The sequence below is a fragment of the Homo sapiens genome, chromosome 7, assembly GCF_000001405.40.
Source record: "Homo sapiens chromosome 7, GRCh38.p14 Primary Assembly".
Taxonomy (NCBI): domain Eukaryota; kingdom Metazoa; phylum Chordata; class Mammalia; order Primates; family Hominidae; genus Homo; species Homo sapiens.
The window spans coordinates 149442826-149461443 of record NC_000007.14 but is presented as its reverse complement, the minus strand read 5'-3'; the positions used below and the strand labels follow the sequence as shown (position 1 = coordinate 149461443).

Below are 18618 nucleotides of genomic sequence, written 5' to 3'. Positions count from 1 at the left end.
TTCTTCTTTTTTTTTCCTTTTCAATTCATCCCCAGTTCTCGCCACCTCGTAGGTATTCAATTAATACATGTTTAAGTGGACCTGTCCAGGAAGGGGAGTTCTCAACTCTAAGCTCCTGCATTTCTTTTGGGACTTCTCATGGTTACAAAGAGCATTCATTCATACTGTGACTGAGGGTAAACAAGTCGCTGCCCACTCGGCCTCAGTTTCCTCCTAAATGACCCGTCTGGCCACTTCCAGCCCCAGCAGGGTCTGATTCTAGGAATTCGGTCCTTTCATGTCGAAAACAACACTCGGGCATTTCACAAAAGCACCCAACCCCCTGGCTCCCCTTGGAAGCACAGCCCGCGTCCCTGGAACCCGGGCTGCACTGAGCTGGTCACATGAACTCCGGGCTTTCTCTGGTGTGACGGGTTTCTTAGATCCCTTTGTGAGCGCAGGTTTTGAAAGGGAACGACCCCGGGTTCTGGGTGTGAGAGGCGCAGGGGATCGGCGGGAGGAAGGCTGTCGGAGCCAATCAAGCCGCCTCCAGACCCCAGCACGTCGCCTGGGCTGCGCGCTCCGACTGCGCCTCCGCCCGCGCGCCTCCCGGCCTCGCCCGAGGGTGCCTGGGCAGGCGAGGACCCCAGGTGAGAGGCCGGAGGGTCCTGGAGGGTGGGAGGCCCCGGCGGTTCGGCCCGGGCTCCACGACGGGCTGGCCCGGGCTCAGGGCGTGTCCGTCGCCGCCGGGCGGCTCGCTCGACACTGTTCGCTCCTACCGGCTGTAGATGGAGCTGTCTGGGTTCCGGCAGCCTCCGACGAGCCTCGGAGTGTTTCTCTTTAAACGGCCTGAGAGGGACATGCCTCCCAGGATGCAGTTTGTAGCAACATGGCAGCTGCTGTGCAGCTCCCCTGCTAAAGAGGCGCCGGGACGGCAGCGCAGCTCGCAGCCGGGGCCGGGGCCGGAGCTGGGGTCCCAGCCGCGGCCGCAGAGGGGCGGCGCGCGGGCCGGGGGCCGCCGTTGAGGGCCGGGGCCCAGCTCGCCGCCGGGACGCAGCCGGCCGGGCCGCCCGCACAGCCGCGCGCCCAGCTCCGACGCCGCCGCTCGGGCTCCGCGACCCCGCGCCCGCTCGCCCCGCGCGCCCCGAGCAGGCCGGGGCCCGACGGCCGCGCGCGAGCCCCGGCGGGGAAGACAGGGCTGGGCCGGCGCCGCCTGCGGAGAGCGCCGGGCGGCCGGGCCTGCGTGGGGCCGCGCGCAGTAGCGGCGGCGGCAGTAGCGGCGGCGACTCCGGGGGCCCGGGCCGGACAGCGCAGGGCCATGGCCGAGGCGGCCCCGGCTCCTGTGAGGGCGGCCCGCGCGCGCACGGACGCGCGGCCTCGGGGCCCCGGGGACGGCCTGCGTGTCCCGGGCTCGGCGGCCCGGCCTGGGATCTCGGTAAGGGGCAGAAACGCTACGACGTTGGCGCGGGGGGTGGGGGCGCCCTGGAGGGGGCCCGCGCGTCTTGACCCGGGCGGTGGGGGAGGGCTACGGGCCTCGCCGCCGTCCGTGCGAGGGAGGCTGCTCTCACGCCCGGCCCGGCACACACGCGGCCCCGAGGTGGGGCGCCCGGAGGCGCGCTCGCTCCCTGCGGGGCCCGCGCTGCGTCCGTCGGGGTAGCCGCCGGCACGTTTTCCGCAGAGCTCGGCCCCGCGGAGCCTTCCCCGGCCCGGGCGCGGCGCTGACGCGGCTCTCCCATTTCGCAGAACGGAGACACTGAGGCACAGACACCTGGCGGCGACCCGCCCTGCCGGCCCCAAGGTCACGTAGCAAGGCATCCGTGGCACGGTGCGGCAGCCCCAGAAAGGCCTGCCCAGAGGGCTGCGGGCCTGGACGGGGAGGGGGTGGCTCTGGCGGCGGCCGCCCCTGGGTGAGGGGCTGGGCCGCCCTGGCAGCGGACGCGGCCCGTCGGGGGCGGCGGGGGAGGCCGGGCAGCGCCCAGCTGGGCATCTCCGCGGTGGGAGCAGGTGACCCTCTGAGCTCCAGCCTCTGCCTCCGGCCTCTGCGTCTGGAAGGTCGTAGGCTAAACTTTGAGTGCCCTGACAGATGGTGTCTGGGGAGTAAGCTTCTCAGGGGTTGGGGGCTGATGTTCCTCTTCAGGAAGACACTCTTAAAAAATCATCCCTCAGATCCTCCCGCAGACCTGCTCTTTGAGACGCCCTGGCCGTGCTAGTGAGAGGATTACTGCATGGGAGTCAGTGCCTTTGAGCCTCAGTTTCCTATTGTGTACACAGGAAGGAGGCAGGATATATAGCTTTCTAAAAAGCATCCCAATTCTTTAATCAAAAAAAAACTCATGAGAAAATAAAATCAAACGAAGATGTTTACATGCCTTACTCTGGGCTCAGGCCTTCGGGGCCCTTGAATGGTATATAATGCTGGGTGAACCATACTGGGTCATTCAAAAAAATGCCATGACTTTCTTAATAAGTCAGATACTGTGGTTATGGATGCTTCTGCTAATGTGGCATGAATCCTGGAGAATCCATCCACTCCTGATCCGTCGGGGAAGGAGGGACCGTTAAATCCTACAAATATGGTTCAGAAGAATTCTCCCTCCAACCCCCTACCAGGAATTTGAGAATTTGAGCTTATTCGTTTTAGGTATATTTACAGCTCCCTCCCTCTCTTTGGTCATTTCTTTCTGCTTAGGGTAAGATAAGCGGCAGGTTTACCGGGATGGATTAAATTATAGCAAAGGGCTTTTATTTGGGAGGCGAGGGAGGGAACACCCTCCTGTGGCCCCTCTACAGTCCTCCAAATCCGGAAATGGAGAGAGACAGTCTAATAATAGCAAAGAAATAGTATTTTCCTTTGAGCTCTGATTTGTCTAGCTGGTAAAGATGCCTTGGTCTGCTGGCTCTGTTTACTATACTGGAGGGTTTTGTTTTGTTTTGTTTTGTTTTGTTTTGTTTTGTTTTGTTTCATTGTTTCAGTTAAACCTCTGCATTACTCAGAGAGACTAACTTGCTCCCCAGGGATTTTTTCCTCTTCTTCTTTCTAGTGCTAGGCAGATACCCTAATCTCCCTCTAAGGCAAGGGCTGTAATGTGCCTATTGTGTTGCGTTAGGCAGTCACTTTCCCTGAGAGCCAGGCGCCTAGCCTCCAGGGCCCCCAGCGCTTCCTTCACAGGGAATGAAGAGTTCAGAGGTGGCTTAGCTGTTGATGAGCCTGCAGGTTTAGGGGTCTGTGAGCTCCTTGAAGATGTCTGCAAAATTCTGTGTATGTGCCCTTTTGTCTTTTTTGAGGACAAGAACCCAAAACTTTCATTAGGTTTTCAAAGAGGTCCCTGACCCCAACTTAAATGATAATATCTCTAAAGGCAAGGCCTTCCTCCCCACCTCTCCCAACCCTATCAAACCTGCCACAGGTCTTTGTGTATAAATAATATCCAGGCCTCGGGATTTTAGAGGTAAAAAGGATTCAGAGCACACACCTGCCTGGCCAGCTGCCTCAGTTGACAGTTAAGGCCTCAAGGTAGCCTGCAGGCTGTGGAACCAGACCACTGGGTGACCTGGGGCAAGTTGCTTAGTCTCTCCTGTCCCCAGTGTCTTCCTGTACTAAGTATGGATAGTAACTCTAGTAGTACCTGTTTCATAGATTTTGTGAGGATTAAATGAGATAATCCTTTAAAATGCTTAACACAGCTCATGGCACATAATAAATGCTGGATAATTGTTAGCCATTCTCAGCTGATTAGCGCTCATGTCTGGTTCGCGGCAGAGGCTATTAGACGATACTATCTCAAAAACCTTTTGTGAATAGGATCTTGAATATTCAATCCGTGGCTTAAAAGTGTGATGCTGTCACAGTTAAGTCACCTATAAATGAACCAATAAAAGAAAAAAGCTGTAGAAGATATGGAATTGCTTTAGATAAGTCTCTGATAGGTGACTAAAGGAACGTCATTGTTTATCCTAATAATTTTTTTGTAACTCAACAATTTACTCTTCAGCCGGCATTTATCAAACACATACTATATGTCAGACTGAACACTGGGGCTATGCCAATTTTCAACGGAAGAAAATTGAAATTTTAATTAAAGACCACTTGGATATAGAGCATAGTGACTGAGCAGATTGACTGAAGGAAGATGATGAGGGAGTGGACAGAAATTGTTACAGGAGAAATTGTGTTAGGTTCCAATAAAGATACTGATGATCTAGGTAAATACATAACTAGTTACTCACAGAAGATCGTGGCTTCGCCTCCCCAGTGATTCAGGAATTCTCTCGATGTGAGTATGGCAGGGTGAGGAACAAGGAGAGCGTGGGTCATTGAGATCCCAGAAGGACTCCAAGTCTTTATGTTGGTCTAGTCCCCCCAAATCTGGATACAAGTCACCAGTCCAGCTGACTTCTGCTCTACTTCCCCATCCTTCCAGGCCTCACTACTTCCTCATTCCCCATGTCGGAAACCCCAGGGTGGAACCCAGACCACCTGAGCACACCTGCTGCAATGGACTGCTGCCCACTCCTAGGAGTGGTTGAATTGCCTGCCTTCACCTGCCTCGATGTCTCGCTCTGCTTATAGCAGAAGCCAGGCCAGAATACCCAGAAGCCCGTTCAGCCTCTACAGCAGGGGCCGGGCACATAGAAGATGTTTCCAAGTCAAACATACATATACCATACTGACTCATTGATATGAGTCTGCAATGCAACTGTTATCAAAGAGTAAGAGTCTGGGAAACTTCAGATAATGTCATGTCCTCACTTTTGGACCAAGCGAAGGAAGGAACCCAGGGCACCACAAAGGCCTAATGCTGGTAGAAGTGGTGGTGGCTGGATGCCAAGTCCACCTTCCAGTTAAGAACATTAACAGTTCTGGCCCCTGCTGGTGAGCCCCCCACCCCTGCTGGGAGATGTGGGATAGTAAGTGCTTGGCTTTTACAAAATTCTGCTCTTTTGTTTCTCAAAGTTTTATGTTCAGTGCTTCAACAACTCAGGTAGTGTGTGTGTCAGATATTATTATCCTCGTTTTATGGATGAGGACACAGGACACTAAGAACAGAGAGGTCAAACGACCGATCCAGAGTGACACAGGTGGCAATAGGTGTAGACAGGGCCAAAAGCTCTAACAGGAGTCCAGCACCCTTCCGCTCTCCCACACTGCTGTTCGTAAGGTACCCGTGCAATGTATGTTGTGAAAAAGGAGATGGCTCTGTGAGAAACAAAAGGTAGCATAATCATCTTTCATTTGCGGTTCATAATAGTGGTATAATTGATGTCTAAATTGGTGCTGTGGTCTCTAGAAGAGATTCACATATGAGGGGCACATATTATTGCTACCAAACGGAAGCACTTTTTATGTGTATACTTGTCTTTGGGTTTTATTTTGCTAGCTGGAGACTGTGGCCTTTAATCCTCTTTTCCTTTCTTCCATGAACACAGGTTCAGCAGCTGGACATGGAGAACCAACGCTCATCACCTCTGTCGTTCCCCAGTGTTCCACAAGAAGAAACCTTACGTCAGGCCCCTGCTGGACTCCCCCGAGAAACTCTGTTCCAATCCCGCGTTCTTCCTCCCAAAGAAATTCCTTCTTTGTCTCCCACCATTCCCCGTCAAGGCTCCCTGCCCCAAACTTCCAGTGCTCCCAAGCAAGAGACTTCTGGCCGGATGCCACATGTGCTCCAGAAGGGACCCTCACTCCTGTGTTCTGCCGCTTCTGAGCAAGAGACTTCTCTCCAGGGCCCCCTGGCTTCCCAGGAAGGGACCCAGTATCCACCCCCAGCTGCTGCTGAACAAGAAGTCTCCCTTCTCTCCCACTCCCCCCACCACCAGGAAGCCCCCGTTCACTCCCCTGAAGCTCCTGAGAAAGACCCCCTGACCCTTTCCCCAACAGTTCCCGAGACTGACATGGACCCGCTGCTCCAGAGCCCGGTTTCCCAAAAGGACACCCCTTTCCAGATCTCTTCTGCAGTCCAGAAGGAACAGCCGCTCCCCACGGCAGAGATCACCCGCTTGGCTGTGTGGGCTGCCGTCCAAGCAGTGGAGAGGAAGCTGGAGGCCCAGGCCATGAGGCTACTGACCCTGGAAGGCAGGACGGGGACAAATGAAAAGAAGATAGCCGACTGCGAGAAGACAGCCGTGGAGTTCGCGAACCATCTGGAGAGCAAGTGGGTCGTGTTGGGGACCCTGCTGCAGGAGTATGGGCTGCTGCAGAGGCGGCTGGAGAACATGGAGAACCTGCTGAAAAACAGAAATTTCTGGATCCTGCGGCTGCCCCCCGGCAGCAATGGAGAAGTTCCCAAGGTAAGCACATCCCAACTGGGGCTTCCCAAGGAAGTGATCTGAATTGGAGTGTGGTTTAGGAATGTAGTGTAATATGAAAGAAAGGGGTGGTTGATAAAGGAAAAAATACAGTGATCCCAGTTGCTAGGACATGCCAAAATCAAATTATTTCTCCTGTTGATGAGAGTATAGGCTAGTACAGAAATGCCCCTGGGATCGGGGATTGTCAGTTTGGAAGGGTGTTCAGCAGAGCTGTCCATGGTGTGAGAGACTACGAAGGCAAAGCGAAGGCCGATGAGAGCCGTGGAGAGGCTTTACCATCAGTCACTGAGGGTGCATTAGCTTCACAATTGCAGCAGAGGAAGGAGCTTGGGTTAAACATCACAAGGATCTGTCCCACTCCACATTTTTATGAGTTCACTTATAAGCCATGTTAGTGCCAGGAAAACTGATTTCAAGATGTTTCCTTTCAAAAGCTAGAGAAGTTAGGTTTCCATATTATTTTCCAGAAGGTTCTGAAAGAGCTTGAGTGTGGACTGGCTTGCTTTCTCTTCTTCAGTGCTGCTGCCCCCTTTCACAGCCATATGTAGGGAGAAAACAGACTCTGTTCTCTAGCCCGGTATGTCTCAAATGTTACTGTGCACATGGATCTCCCCGGGATCTTACTGAATGCAGAAGCTATTTAGTAGGTCTAAGGTGGGGTCTGAGCAAGTTACCTGGTAGCACCATTGCTGCTGGTCCACAGACCATGCTTTAGAGCTGCAAGAATTATATCCTGAAGGGGAGGAAAAGGATCCGACAAGACAGGCCCCTCACTCTTTGGGGCCAGGACAGTGGCCAGACTTCTAGAAAAGTCCTAGGTGAAGGCCCAGAGCCAGGAGTTTGGGCCTTGGGATTGGCCAGCCGTGGGCCTGTCACTGCCTTCCAGCGGGTCTGAGCCGAGTTATTGTGTGGTTTCAGGTCCCTGTCACATTTGATGATGTTGCTGTGCACTTCTCGGAGCAGGAGTGGGGAAACCTGTCTGAGTGGCAGAAGGAGCTCTACAAGAACGTGATGAGGGGCAACTACGAGTCCCTGGTTTCCATGGGTAAGGAGAAGCCTTCGCTCGCTGGGGGCTGCCTGGACGCCAGCTCAAAGTGCATTCATAAACTTAGGGAGTTCTGAACCCCAGCAGAGCCAATAGTTGCAAGCAAGGAGAACAGAGTTGTAGAGATCACAACAAATTAAAGCAAACGCCCTCATATACCCACACACATCAGTGCGGCCCAGGCCAGAATGGCTTGTAAATTGAGACCCCACTCTCAGAGAAGCTGCTGGGGCAAGGAGGAGGAGAAAGACCTAGACATCAGTGGTCTCTCCGTCATCATATTTTTCCCCATGGGGACCCCTTTTTAAATAAATTAGTTTGTCCAGCAAACTATTATTAAGGAAGGAAAAAAGAATGAAAGGAAAGTGTGCTGAGTGTCTCCTGTGTACCAGCCACATTTGAGGTGCTGTACAAGTATCATCTCCTTGGACCTGCACAGCCAAGATGTTGCGGAGGCTAAGACAGGTGTTCACACTCCTGTTCGATGATTCAGGTGCCTGAACACTGAGGCTGTGATCAGGGAGGTTAAATGCTTATTTCATGGAGATCTGCCTTACCCCGAAGTCTGTAGATTCTTGTGATTTTAATTAAGAATATTTAACGATGAAAACCTGGAAAAATATACTTTACTTACATATATATATGTGTGTGTGTATATATATCTGTTTCTCTGATATGGAGAACTTTTTGGGTATATACAAAAAAACGTTATCTTAAACATTTAAATGTGTTGTCACATAGAAACTTTGATTCCAGCTAGAATTGATAATTTTATACATACCTTTCCATAGGATACATTCCCTTCCTTTTAAAATTCTTTTTTCTTTTTTTAATTGTGTTTTTTAATTGTGAAAATTCAACAATTTAAATGATTTATATAATTAAGAGCAACCACCACCCATTCACCAGTACCACTCCCCAGAGGTAACCACCATGAACACTTTGGCCTGTGTTCTCTCTCATCTTTTTTTGCATGTGCAGATATAAGCATGATACATGCACTGAGGCACATGCAGTTTGGGGTTTGCACAGAGGGGCCCGTTTACTTATTTTACCTAATGTAGGGGGATAGAGAGTGTTCCATGTCAGCACACGTAGGACTCCTTGGAAAGACAGTGCAGTGTTCCACGTGAACCATTAGGGCTTTTGACCTGTCTGCTGTTGCTGAAGAGTAGGTTGACTGTTACAAAGTGTTATGATAAACATTTCTGTGTATTTGTGCACTTCTGTGTGTTACAGTAGGACAGATACTAAGAAGTGGGATTGCCAAGTAAACAGGATGCACATTTATAGTTTTATGGCTACTGCCTGGTGCCCTCCAGAAGGCTGAGCCAGTTGATATTTCTGCAAGGGTGTGTGAAAATGCCACTTCATACCCTGGCCTGAGCTGATGTTCTTCTATTTTAAATATTAGCCTTTTTTATAGGTGAAAAATGATACCTTATTTATTTATTTATTTACTTTTTTTTTTTTTTTTTGAGACAGAGTCTCGCTCTGTTGCCCAGGCTGGAGTGCAGTGGCACGATCTGGGCTCACTGCAAGCTCCGCCTCCCAGGTTCATGCCATTCTCCTACCTCAGCCTCCCGAGTAGCTGGGACTACAGGCACCTTCCACTGCTCCTGGCTAATTTTTTTTTGTATTTTTAGTAGAGACAGGGTTTTACCGTGTCAGCCAGGATGGTCTTGATTTCCTGACCTTGTGATCCAGCCACCTCGGCCTCCCAAAGTGCTGGGATTACAGGCGTGAGCCACACGCCCAGCCTACTTCATTTATTTAAATATGTATTCTTTGATGATTAGTGAACTTGTGCATCTTTTTTTGTTTGTTTGTTTGTTTGTTTGTTTTTGAGACGGAGTCTCGCTCTGTTGCCCAGGCTAGAGTGCAGTGGCGCGATCTCGGCTCACTGCACGCTCCGCCTCCCGGGTTCACACTATTCTCCTGCCTCAGCCTCCCGAGTAGCTGGGACTACAGGTGCCCACCACCGTGCCCAGCTAATTTTTTGTATTTTTAGTAGAGACGGGGTTTCACCATGTTAGCCAGGATGGTCTCGATCTCCTGACCTTGTGATCCGCCCGCCTCGGCCTCCCAAAGTGCTGGGATTACAGGCGTGAGCCACTGTGCCCAGTGAACTTGTGCATCTTTTTATATATTTATTGGCCATTCATATTTCTTCTATGAATTACCTATTTATAGCTTTGCAATTTTACTAGTTATAGAAGTTCTTTATGTATAACTATGGATATTAACCCTTTGCCATATGTCAAACATGTATATATATGTATAATATTTCCTCCAAGTTTCTTCATCTTTTAACTTTATTTCCAAAGAACTGCAGACTTATTTTATGTAAGAAAATCTATCGATATTTTATGGCTTTTAGATTTTTATCAGGATTAGTTTTTTGTTTTTTTCTTTTTTTGAGACGGAGTTTCACTCTTGTTGCCCAGGCTGGAGTGCAGTGTGTGATCTTGGCTCACTGCAACCTCTGCCTCCCAGGTTCAAGTGATTCTCCTGCCTCAGCCTCCCGAGTAGCTGGGATTACAGGCATCCGCCACCACGCCTGGCTAATTTTTTGCATTTTTAGTAGAGATGGGGTTTCACCATGTTGACCAGGCTGGTCCCGAACTCCTGACCTCAGGTGATGCGTCTGCCTCAGCCTCCCAATGTGCTGGGATTACAGGTGTGAGCCACTGCACCCGGCCAGGATTAGTTTTTTACCTTACAAAATTTCAAATATCTTCTGCCTTTATCATGAAAACCTGGGCAGGTTTTGACTACCTCTGAGCAACACGATCCCTCTACCCCCCGCCACACACACACACCCACACCCCCACACCCACAGTGGGCTCTTGGGAAAAGAAGGGGAGACTTGGCGGTTTTCCATTGTGGTCTCCAGTCGAGGAGCTGCTCCTGGAATCACGTGCCCACAGATGATACCTTAACAACATCCAGTGCAACCTCATCCCAGAGCATATTTTTTTCCCTTTCTTCTGCCTAGACTATGCAATTTCCAAACCAGACCTCATGTCACAGATGGAGCGCGGGGAGCGGCCCACCATGCAGGAGCAGGAAGACTCTGAGGAGGGCGAAACGCCGACAGATCCCAGTGCTGGTGAGTGGCTAAGGGTGATCTGCAGCTCTGCATTCTAGATCTTTCAGTACTCAGGAAGCGCCAGCATGAGGCAGCACAATCCAAGGTAGGCCCTGCCAGGATATGTTAGCAGGAAGGAGGCCCGCAGGTGCCAGGACCTGCTTTGGAGTGCCATGATCACCAGTGGCCCAACTTGTTGATTAATGGGAATGCCGTTGGGTTCACTGTCTCAGGAATTTTTTGACATGACCAAGTGTCACCTCACTCTCTGTAGGAAATAAAGCAAGAAACTCAAAGAAAGGCAGTCCCTTGTCAAGCAGTCATTAGTGCTTAAAATTCCTGGAACTTCCGAGAAAAGGGCCACATCCCTGAGTCCTGCAGGTGGTCAGTGGAGGGATAAGGGGCAGGCATGGAGTTTACCAGAAACATCCTACATGCACAGCTTCAGCAGGACAGCATGTAGGTGGAGTCAGCAGATATGCACCCAGCGAGACTGACCAGAGGCCGTGTGGCTCATGTGCACACTCTGGTGTGAGGCTGACTGTATCTGAGTATAGTTTTTCTGCTTACTGGGGGTGGGATTTCAGTTGCTTGATCTTTTCAGAGTCTCAGTTTCCTCATCTATAAAATAGAACTGGCACTAATATCTAACCGTAGGGCCTGGCACAGTGATTGGCACATAGCAGTGGCTCAGTATACACCAGCCGCTGTTGGTGTGCCTGGAGGTCGCCCCATTCACAGCAGCTGGGTCAGTGGCTCACACACTCACACTGCAGGCGCTCTTGTGGTGCATGGTTGCTCTCTGAAGCCCCTGCTTTGGAACTGCCTTTGGACTTGCATCACTTATCTTGATGGTCATCAGCAGAAGCTGATCCTTGTCCTTCGTGGGCAGGTGTGGCGTGTGAACATAGCTGAGAGTTACTGGCGATCATGTCTGCTGAAAGAGGATGATCCACCTGGAGAACTCTGTTTGGGGCCAACAGCCAGGTCTTGTTAGGAACTAATGTCGTTGATTTGGGGACCTATCAACTGGCTCCAAGCAGATGTTCTAGGAACATGGGAGTAATGTTGGCCCCATGTACTGAGTGGGAAGGTGACTTCTGGGAGAGACAGAACCCTGTAAAAATACAAGTGCTGGCATGTCCCAGAGAAATCCAGTGGTGTCACTTTCTATGGATTTGCCTAAAATTTAACTCGAGGAGAGGGGCTAATCCTGAGTTCCTTCCTGCAGACAGAAAAGAGGAATTTAAAAATTGATGAGGATGAGGGATTGGTGACAGTGTGGCACATGGCAGGGTGAACTTTTGGTTGAGGAAAATCAGTCTGAACCTTAAAGGTTTGAGTGGCCACATCCAAAAGCAAAGGTCAAGTAGAAATAGAGAGATTCTAGGTGGAAGAAATGAGAAAGAAGTGTTGCGAGGCAGAGAATGAGAAGTCAGGAGAGATGATTTGTGGTTAAAATCCTAAAATACAATCTGCTGTCCCAACGGGGCCTTGCGGTTCAGGTGCTGCTCTCATAGAATTTTCTTGGAAGGGCTGGATGCAAGAGCATGGATCCCCTTTCTCTGTCTGCTTTTCCCTGCCTCATCACAGATGGCCTCCCACAGAATGGGGCCAGAATTGAAAAGCAAATAACCCAAATCCATTCGGTCCTGGGCTGGGTTTGTTCTGACACATGCACATCCACAGGAGCTTCTGCTGGAAGAAGCGGCCTCACAGAGGCCTCCTTGTGTGGCTGAAATGTGTCATTTGTTCCAGTCACCATCTCCAGGCCCTGGGAGTCTGCAGTGGGAGGAAAGGGGAGGACATAGGTACCGCTGCCCCTCAGAGTGGGCCGCACACTCGCACCTCTGTGCTAAACCAAAGGCCCCGGCCTCGCCATTGCAGGCTGGTTCTGCAAAACTGCAGGTATCAGAGCCGTAGCACTCCAGTGGTAACCTGTCCATCCAAGCGCCTTCTCCTTTTGCAGAATGGCAGCAAATCCAGCCATGGGCCAGACCAAAAGTATGAGACAAAGGGGTAAAAGTCCAGAAAATTGAGACTTCTCATAATTCCAAATATACCAAACATGACAATTTTATGAATTGGCTAAGTAAATTCATTCAATAAACTATCATTTAATGGTTGGCTTCCCAAGGGCAAAGAGATGTAAAGATGATTCAGATGTCAACCCTCCAAATACTCAGAACAGGGGCTCCCATTCATTCACGGCCTTGAAAGGGTGGCCATGGAGGCCAGAGAAGCCAGGCACCATCTTCACCTAGCAAGTTGGCAAAGAGTAAAGCGAACCAGAAGGCATGGCTGAAATCTGTGTGCTCAGACATTGCCACTCAGAGGGTTCATCATTTCAGTCTCTCGAGAAAGCAATTTGATGCTTTCTAGTCTTAAAATATATATGTATTCTTTACTATATATATATATATATATATATATATATATAGTTATATGTATAACTATATAACTATATGTATAACTATATATATAACTATATGTATAACTATATATAGTTATATATATATATATATATATATATAGTTTTGTTTTGTTTTTGAGATGGAGCCTCACTTTGTTGCCCAGGCTGGAGTGCAGTGGCGTGATCTCTGCTCACTGCAACCTCCCACCTCCTGGTTCAAGCAATTCTCTTGCCTCAGCCTCCTGAGTAGCTGGGATTACAGGTGTGTGCCACCACGCCCAGCTAATTTTTTTACTTTTCTTTAGTAGAGATGACGTTTCACCATGTTGGTCAGGCTGCTCATGAACTCCTAATCTTAAGTGATCCACCTGCCTCAGCCTCCCAAAGTGTTGGGATTAAAGGCATGAACCACTGCACCTGGCTTATTTTTAAGTATATTTTAAATATTTTAAATGTTCTTACATTTGACCTAATAATTTACTTCCTGAGAGTCTAGCAGGAAAAAGAATCCAAAATATAGATTAAGATGTACAAATATAAATCACAGTATGATAGACTGTTACACACTAAAATCACATTTATGAAGAGTTTTGAAACCATAAGTTTCACTCATATGTTTATTTAGTTCATCAGATCTCTTTGGTAGCAGGTACTGTGTCAAGAACTATATTAACCCTGAGGCCCTTGCCCTCAGACTTAACTCCTGTGGAGCGACTGACATTAACAACCAAAACACCCCCCACAGATGAAAGCACGGGCACCAGCTGTGACAAAGCTGAGACGCAGAGCATCCAGGGCTGCGAGACACACGACAGGGAAGGTGCCCTTGAGTTTGGGAAGTCAGAAAGGCCTCTTGGAGGATGTGGAATTTCTAGTGGAAACCTGAAGACTAAGTAGGGCTCTGGTTGCTCCGTAGAGAACTCACTGCAGGGGGGATGGTCTGGAAGCTAGGAGACTACTTGCAGGTTCTTTCCGTCTTCCAGGTAGGAAACCTTGGCATCGCCCTGAGAGAGAAGTGGCTGTTGTCAAGATATATTCTGGCAGTGGACTAGGAAGGCCTTAGGGATTGGTGGGTGTTGAATAGGAGGGCTGGGGAGGTGCTAAGGGTGGCCCCCAGGCCTCTGGCTTAAGTAAGAGTAGAGGGAGGGTAATGTAAGGTTCAGATTTGGAGAAACACTGAGAATTCCGTTTTGAACACATTAGGTTTGAGATCCCTGTGAGACATCAAAGAGCAGGTGTTGAGAAAGCAGCTGAATAAAGGAGTCTGGAGTTCAGAACCGAGGTCTGAGCTAGAGACATCTGGCCTTGGCACATTTGGACATTTGGGTGTCGGCAGCAGAGTTAGATTAGGTTGCTCAGTCTGTAGAGGGGGAAGAGAGGAGAACACAAGCCATGCCCTGCAGAACCCTGGCTTTTGGGGCAGATTCGGGGATTTGGAATATGTTGTTCATGATGGGGCCCGGATGTTAGTATTTTTTAGCTTCCAAGGTGATTTTCATCTGCAGCCAGGGTGGAAAACCACTGTTGTGGAAAAAGAAGGAGCCAGAGGAATCACGGGAAACAGAAAGAGTGGCCAGAAAGGTAGCAGGAGAATTAGGATACTGCCTTGTTGGGTATTTCTAGAGAAGGATGCTTCCAGAAGGAGAGAGTATGCCCAACCGTGTCGTATTCTGCTGTGTGGTTTAGGAACAGGAAGACTAAAAAGGGTCCATTGGATTGCAAGCTAAAAGTCATCAGTGACCTTAGGAAGACAAACGTTGGTACCTTAGTGGAGGTGGCAGCCTGATAGTCAGTGGGTGAGGAGCAGGTGGGAGGCGAGGAAGTAGAGATGGCAGGTGCTGACAGTCATTTCAAGAAGTGTAGCTGTGGGGGAGTGGAAATATGGGACAGTTGGGGGGATTCTTGTTTGCCTAAGATGGGGATTGCTAAAGCTTGTTTGAAATGTTGATGGGAATGATCCAGTTGATAGGAGGATTAAGGATGTAGAAGTGGGAAATGTAACTATAGTGAGGTCAGTGATGTAAGCAAAAGTAGATTAAAAAAAAACTGGATGGAAACATACCAAAGCCATATTTCTCTATGTTTTTTAAAATGTTCTGATGTGAGCATGTATTACTCCTTATTCAGTAAAAATATATTTTTTAAAACAGTACACAATGAAAGATTGAGTTGAGCAGGGCAGATTGAACATGTATTTATTCCCACCTTCCCAAATCCTTCCTTTTTTTTTTGAGATGGAGTTTCGCTCTTGTTGCCAGGCCGGAGTGCAATGGCGCGATCTTGGCTCACTGCAACCTCCGCCTCCAGGATACAAGTGATTTTCCCGCCTCGGCCTCCCCAGTAGCTGGGATTTCAGGCATGTGCCACCACACCTGGCTAATTTTGTATTTTAGTAGAGATGGGGTTTATCCATGTTGGTCAGGCTGGTCTTGAACTCCCAACCTCAGGTAATCTGCCCGCCTCGGACTCCCAAAGTGCTTGGATTACAGGCCACCACATCCGGCCTCCCAAATCCTTCTAAAACAAGAGTGAAGAAACTTTTAAAAAGAAAGGAGAAACAGCAACGAAGTTTTTCAGCCCTGAAGCAGGTGGATAGATGTGGTGAGCTGAATCTGAAATTGGTACTGGGGAAAACTGAGAAGAAACCCAATTTGCACCCCCACACCTGCTTGGGGCTCAAGAGTTAATAGTACCAGAGACTCTAGGGATCCCTGGAAATAGGAATGAAGTGAGGCTAAACACAGACAGCTGGCTGAACATCTTTTAAAGAGACCGCTTAAAGCTCCCCTCAGCTCCCATTGCCTCCCTCAGTCCCTACTGCAGGCATCTGCCTTTCCCTAGCCCTGATATGTGACAGGCTTATTCTCTGGGGAGGGTGCAAAGGAGGCTCTCTGGACATGGGCACCAGGCACAGTTGAGGGTGGGGCACCATATTGAAAACGGGAAGAAGGAGACTTGACGTGCAGATGTTGAGACCTCCAGCCTTCTTCCCTAACTCGACTCCCGAAATGTTGCCAACACCCAGAATTAAACCCACTGGGCAGGATATTTGAAGAGGCTTATCTGGAGACTTTTGGGACCAGCCCAAGAGGTTTCTGGGTAAAATGACTTGGCCAAAGCACCCTATGGGCCAAACAGAGTCCCATAGTTAGCAGGCCTCACCCAAATGCACTGAGCTCCCTGTTCTCTTGAGTGTCCCCTTTTAAGTCTCCGGGGACAACCAAGAATGAGAAGACATTTGGGAAAACTCTGTGGTGTACAGAGACAAGTAAAGAAATCAGAAAAAATACATTTAGAGGAACAGAGACCATGCAGAGAGGGAAAAATGTATATATGAATACTCACATGTAAAATCCTTAAATCAAATAAGTGAATGCATTCATGACACAAAAGTGTAATGCTTGTTTTTTAAAAAAGGAATAGAAAGGAACTCTTGGAAATAAAAAATGTAATAGTACAAATTAGAGACTCAGGAGCAGTGTTGGAGGATAAGCACACATCCCAGAAAATAAAGCTAAAAGAAAAGAAAATAGGGAAAAAAATAAAAATAAAGGATGGAAGGGAATAGGGAAAGAATAAGAAAACTGAAGGATGGAAGTCCAACATCCAGATAATAGGAATATCCAGAAAAAGAGTAGCAGAAACAGGTGGGAATTATCAACAAAATAATTCAAGAAAAGGTCCCGCCAATTAAAGCCGTAATTTTCTAGATTGAAAGAGCCAGCTGCCCAGAGCACTGGAAGAAAATAGACCTACACTTTCAGCACGGAATTTCAGAGCAACTGAGAACAAAGGAAATCCTACGAGCTTCCAGGGAAGAGAAACAGAGTCATGCGAAGAAATGAGAATTAGAATGGCCTCAGACATTTGTAACCACATTGGGAGCTAGAAGACAGTAGAGTAGTGCCTTTCAAATTCCAAAGGAAAATATTTTCCAACTTATAATTCAATGTCTAGCCAGACTATTTCGATTAAATATGAGTGAAACTGAGTCATTTTGAGATATTCAAGTCTCCACAAATCCTTTATCAAACTGGGGCAGGCGCTTTGCCAAAATGAGGAAGTAAACCAAGAAGGAGGCATTACAAACCCCAACTTGAGAGAGAGGTGGAGGCACTCCAGGCACACGGCCCAGGGGCATTCCGAGAGGTCAGCTGTGCACCTAGAGGCAGCCAGTCGAGTGGGGCACCTCCGCAGGTCCCAGAAATTTGTCTTCAAGTAGATGAAATGGATAAATACCCAATATATTTGAATGTTTGGAAAGGAGAGTTACACAGCAAGGTAAGGTTGGGGGAGTTTGGGGCTAAGTTCATGATAATTAGTCGTAAGCTGGGCAAAAGAAATAAGTGTCAGATCTAGGGAAAGCAAGAAGGTTTACAGGCGTAGGAGGCACTCACTGAATACTACAGAGTTTAGTTATAAATAACATTGATATAATCTAGCGAGGTAAACACCCAGTATTGATCCAACTAAAATTACAACAAAACTGTATTGGCAGGATCAGTTCGGAGGAGATGGTTCTGACCGTCATCCCTTGGAAGTCAATGGATGATGCTTAAAATTGAAAACTCAAGGAGTAGCAATATAAGTGTGTTACTTAGAGTTATGGAGGTAAATGACCAAAGAGTCAGCTGGAATCATTGAAGTGATTGCTTCGGGGAGCAGGAAATGGGGGCAGAGGAGTGGAAAAGAACTTTTTAAAAAATAAGTTTTGGGCCGGGTGTGGTGGCTCGCGCCTCTAATCCCAACAGTTTGGGAGGCCGAGGCAGGTGGATCACTTGAGGTCAGGAGTTTGAGATTAGCCTGGGCAACATGGTAAAACCCCATCTCTACTAAAAGTACACAAAATATGTATATATAGCTGGGTGTGGTGGCCCATGCCTGTAATCCCGGCTACTCAGGAGGCTAAGGCAGGAGAATCACTTGAATCCAAGGGGTGGAAGATGCAGCCCCGTCTCAAAAAAAAGAAGTTTTGAAGAACTGTTCAACTATGTTCCACTAGCCTATGTGCATGTATAACTTTAAAAAAAATTTTTTTTAATTAAAAAAACCTAACAGTATAGCCATGCGAAGATTGGAAAGTCAGTGTCAACCAATATTTATTTACTTTGAGCTGGTAGAGAGAGTTAATGTGGCAATACTGGTTTTTAATTTCACAAAGAAAAAGTACAGAGAGAGTGAAAGTCCCCCATAGTTTTCTCTCAAGAGTCAGCAGTTTATTCATTCCAATTTTATGTGCATGTGATTACATACACATGGCCTTAATTATATAAGTAATACATATACACATTATCATTGTAAAAAAATCAGACAATATAGAAGTATTGGCAAGTTTCTTTTTTCAATACTATATCATTGACATTTTTACGTCAGAATATATAAATTTGTCGTGTTCTTTTTCATAGCTGACAGTAGTATTCTGTGTATTGATTTCATAATTTATTTAAATACTCTGCCATTGATGTGCATTTAGGGTGTTCACAAGTTTCAGCGCCTCAGTAAAGATTATTATAAATAGATCTTCATGCACTTGTCTGGAATTTATTTAGAAATGGATTTTCTGGGTCAAAGGATACACCCACTTAAAAATTTAATAGATCCTGGCAAATCCCTTCAAATCACTTGTGCCAATTTACATGCCTTCACCCTTCTAAGCATGAGAATGTTTGTTTCTACACACTCTTACCAGTAATAGGTATTATTTATCTTTTTATCATTTGCCAAAGTAATAAGTAGAAAAAACACAATATTTGGATGTTTTTATTTGACTTTCCATAAGGG

General features: G+C 48.1%; 1 protein-coding gene across 2 annotated transcripts in view, besides 4 other annotated features; it reads left to right on the top strand.

Moving 5' to 3' along the window:
- ZNF777 (zinc finger protein 777) overlaps positions 382-18618 on the top strand; it is a 29700-nt gene continuing 11463 nt past the window's right edge. Inside the window, exons 1-4 of one of the 2 annotated variants that reach the window (NM_015694.3) lie at positions 382-629; positions 5407-6267; positions 7207-7333; positions 10332-10445. In NM_015694.3, the coding sequence (NP_056509.2) occupies positions 5422-6267; positions 7207-7333; positions 10332-10445 (1087 nt within the window). In that variant the 5' untranslated portion in view covers positions 382-629; positions 5407-5421. Of the gene's footprint in view, positions 630-855; positions 1415-5406; positions 6268-7206; positions 7334-10331; positions 10446-18618 lie in introns of those variants that run through there. The other variant, XM_005249980.4, reaches the window with a different exon arrangement.
- Positions 402-741: a silencer, noted in NCBI's record as "silent region_18759". NCBI's record gives its function as "represses an Ori minimal core promoter by ATAC-STARR-seq in GM12878 lymphoblastoid cells {active_cell/tissue: GM12878}" and the evidence as "EXISTENCE:reporter gene assay evidence [ECO:0000049][PMID:35858748]".
- Positions 912-981: a silencer, noted in NCBI's record as "silent region_18758". NCBI's record gives its function as "represses an Ori minimal core promoter by ATAC-STARR-seq in GM12878 lymphoblastoid cells {active_cell/tissue: GM12878}" and the evidence as "EXISTENCE:reporter gene assay evidence [ECO:0000049][PMID:35858748]".
- Positions 1272-1351: a silencer, noted in NCBI's record as "silent region_18757". NCBI's record gives its function as "represses an Ori minimal core promoter by ATAC-STARR-seq in GM12878 lymphoblastoid cells {active_cell/tissue: GM12878}" and the evidence as "EXISTENCE:reporter gene assay evidence [ECO:0000049][PMID:35858748]".
- Positions 1362-1721: a silencer, noted in NCBI's record as "silent region_18756". NCBI's record gives its function as "represses an Ori minimal core promoter by ATAC-STARR-seq in GM12878 lymphoblastoid cells {active_cell/tissue: GM12878}" and the evidence as "EXISTENCE:reporter gene assay evidence [ECO:0000049][PMID:35858748]".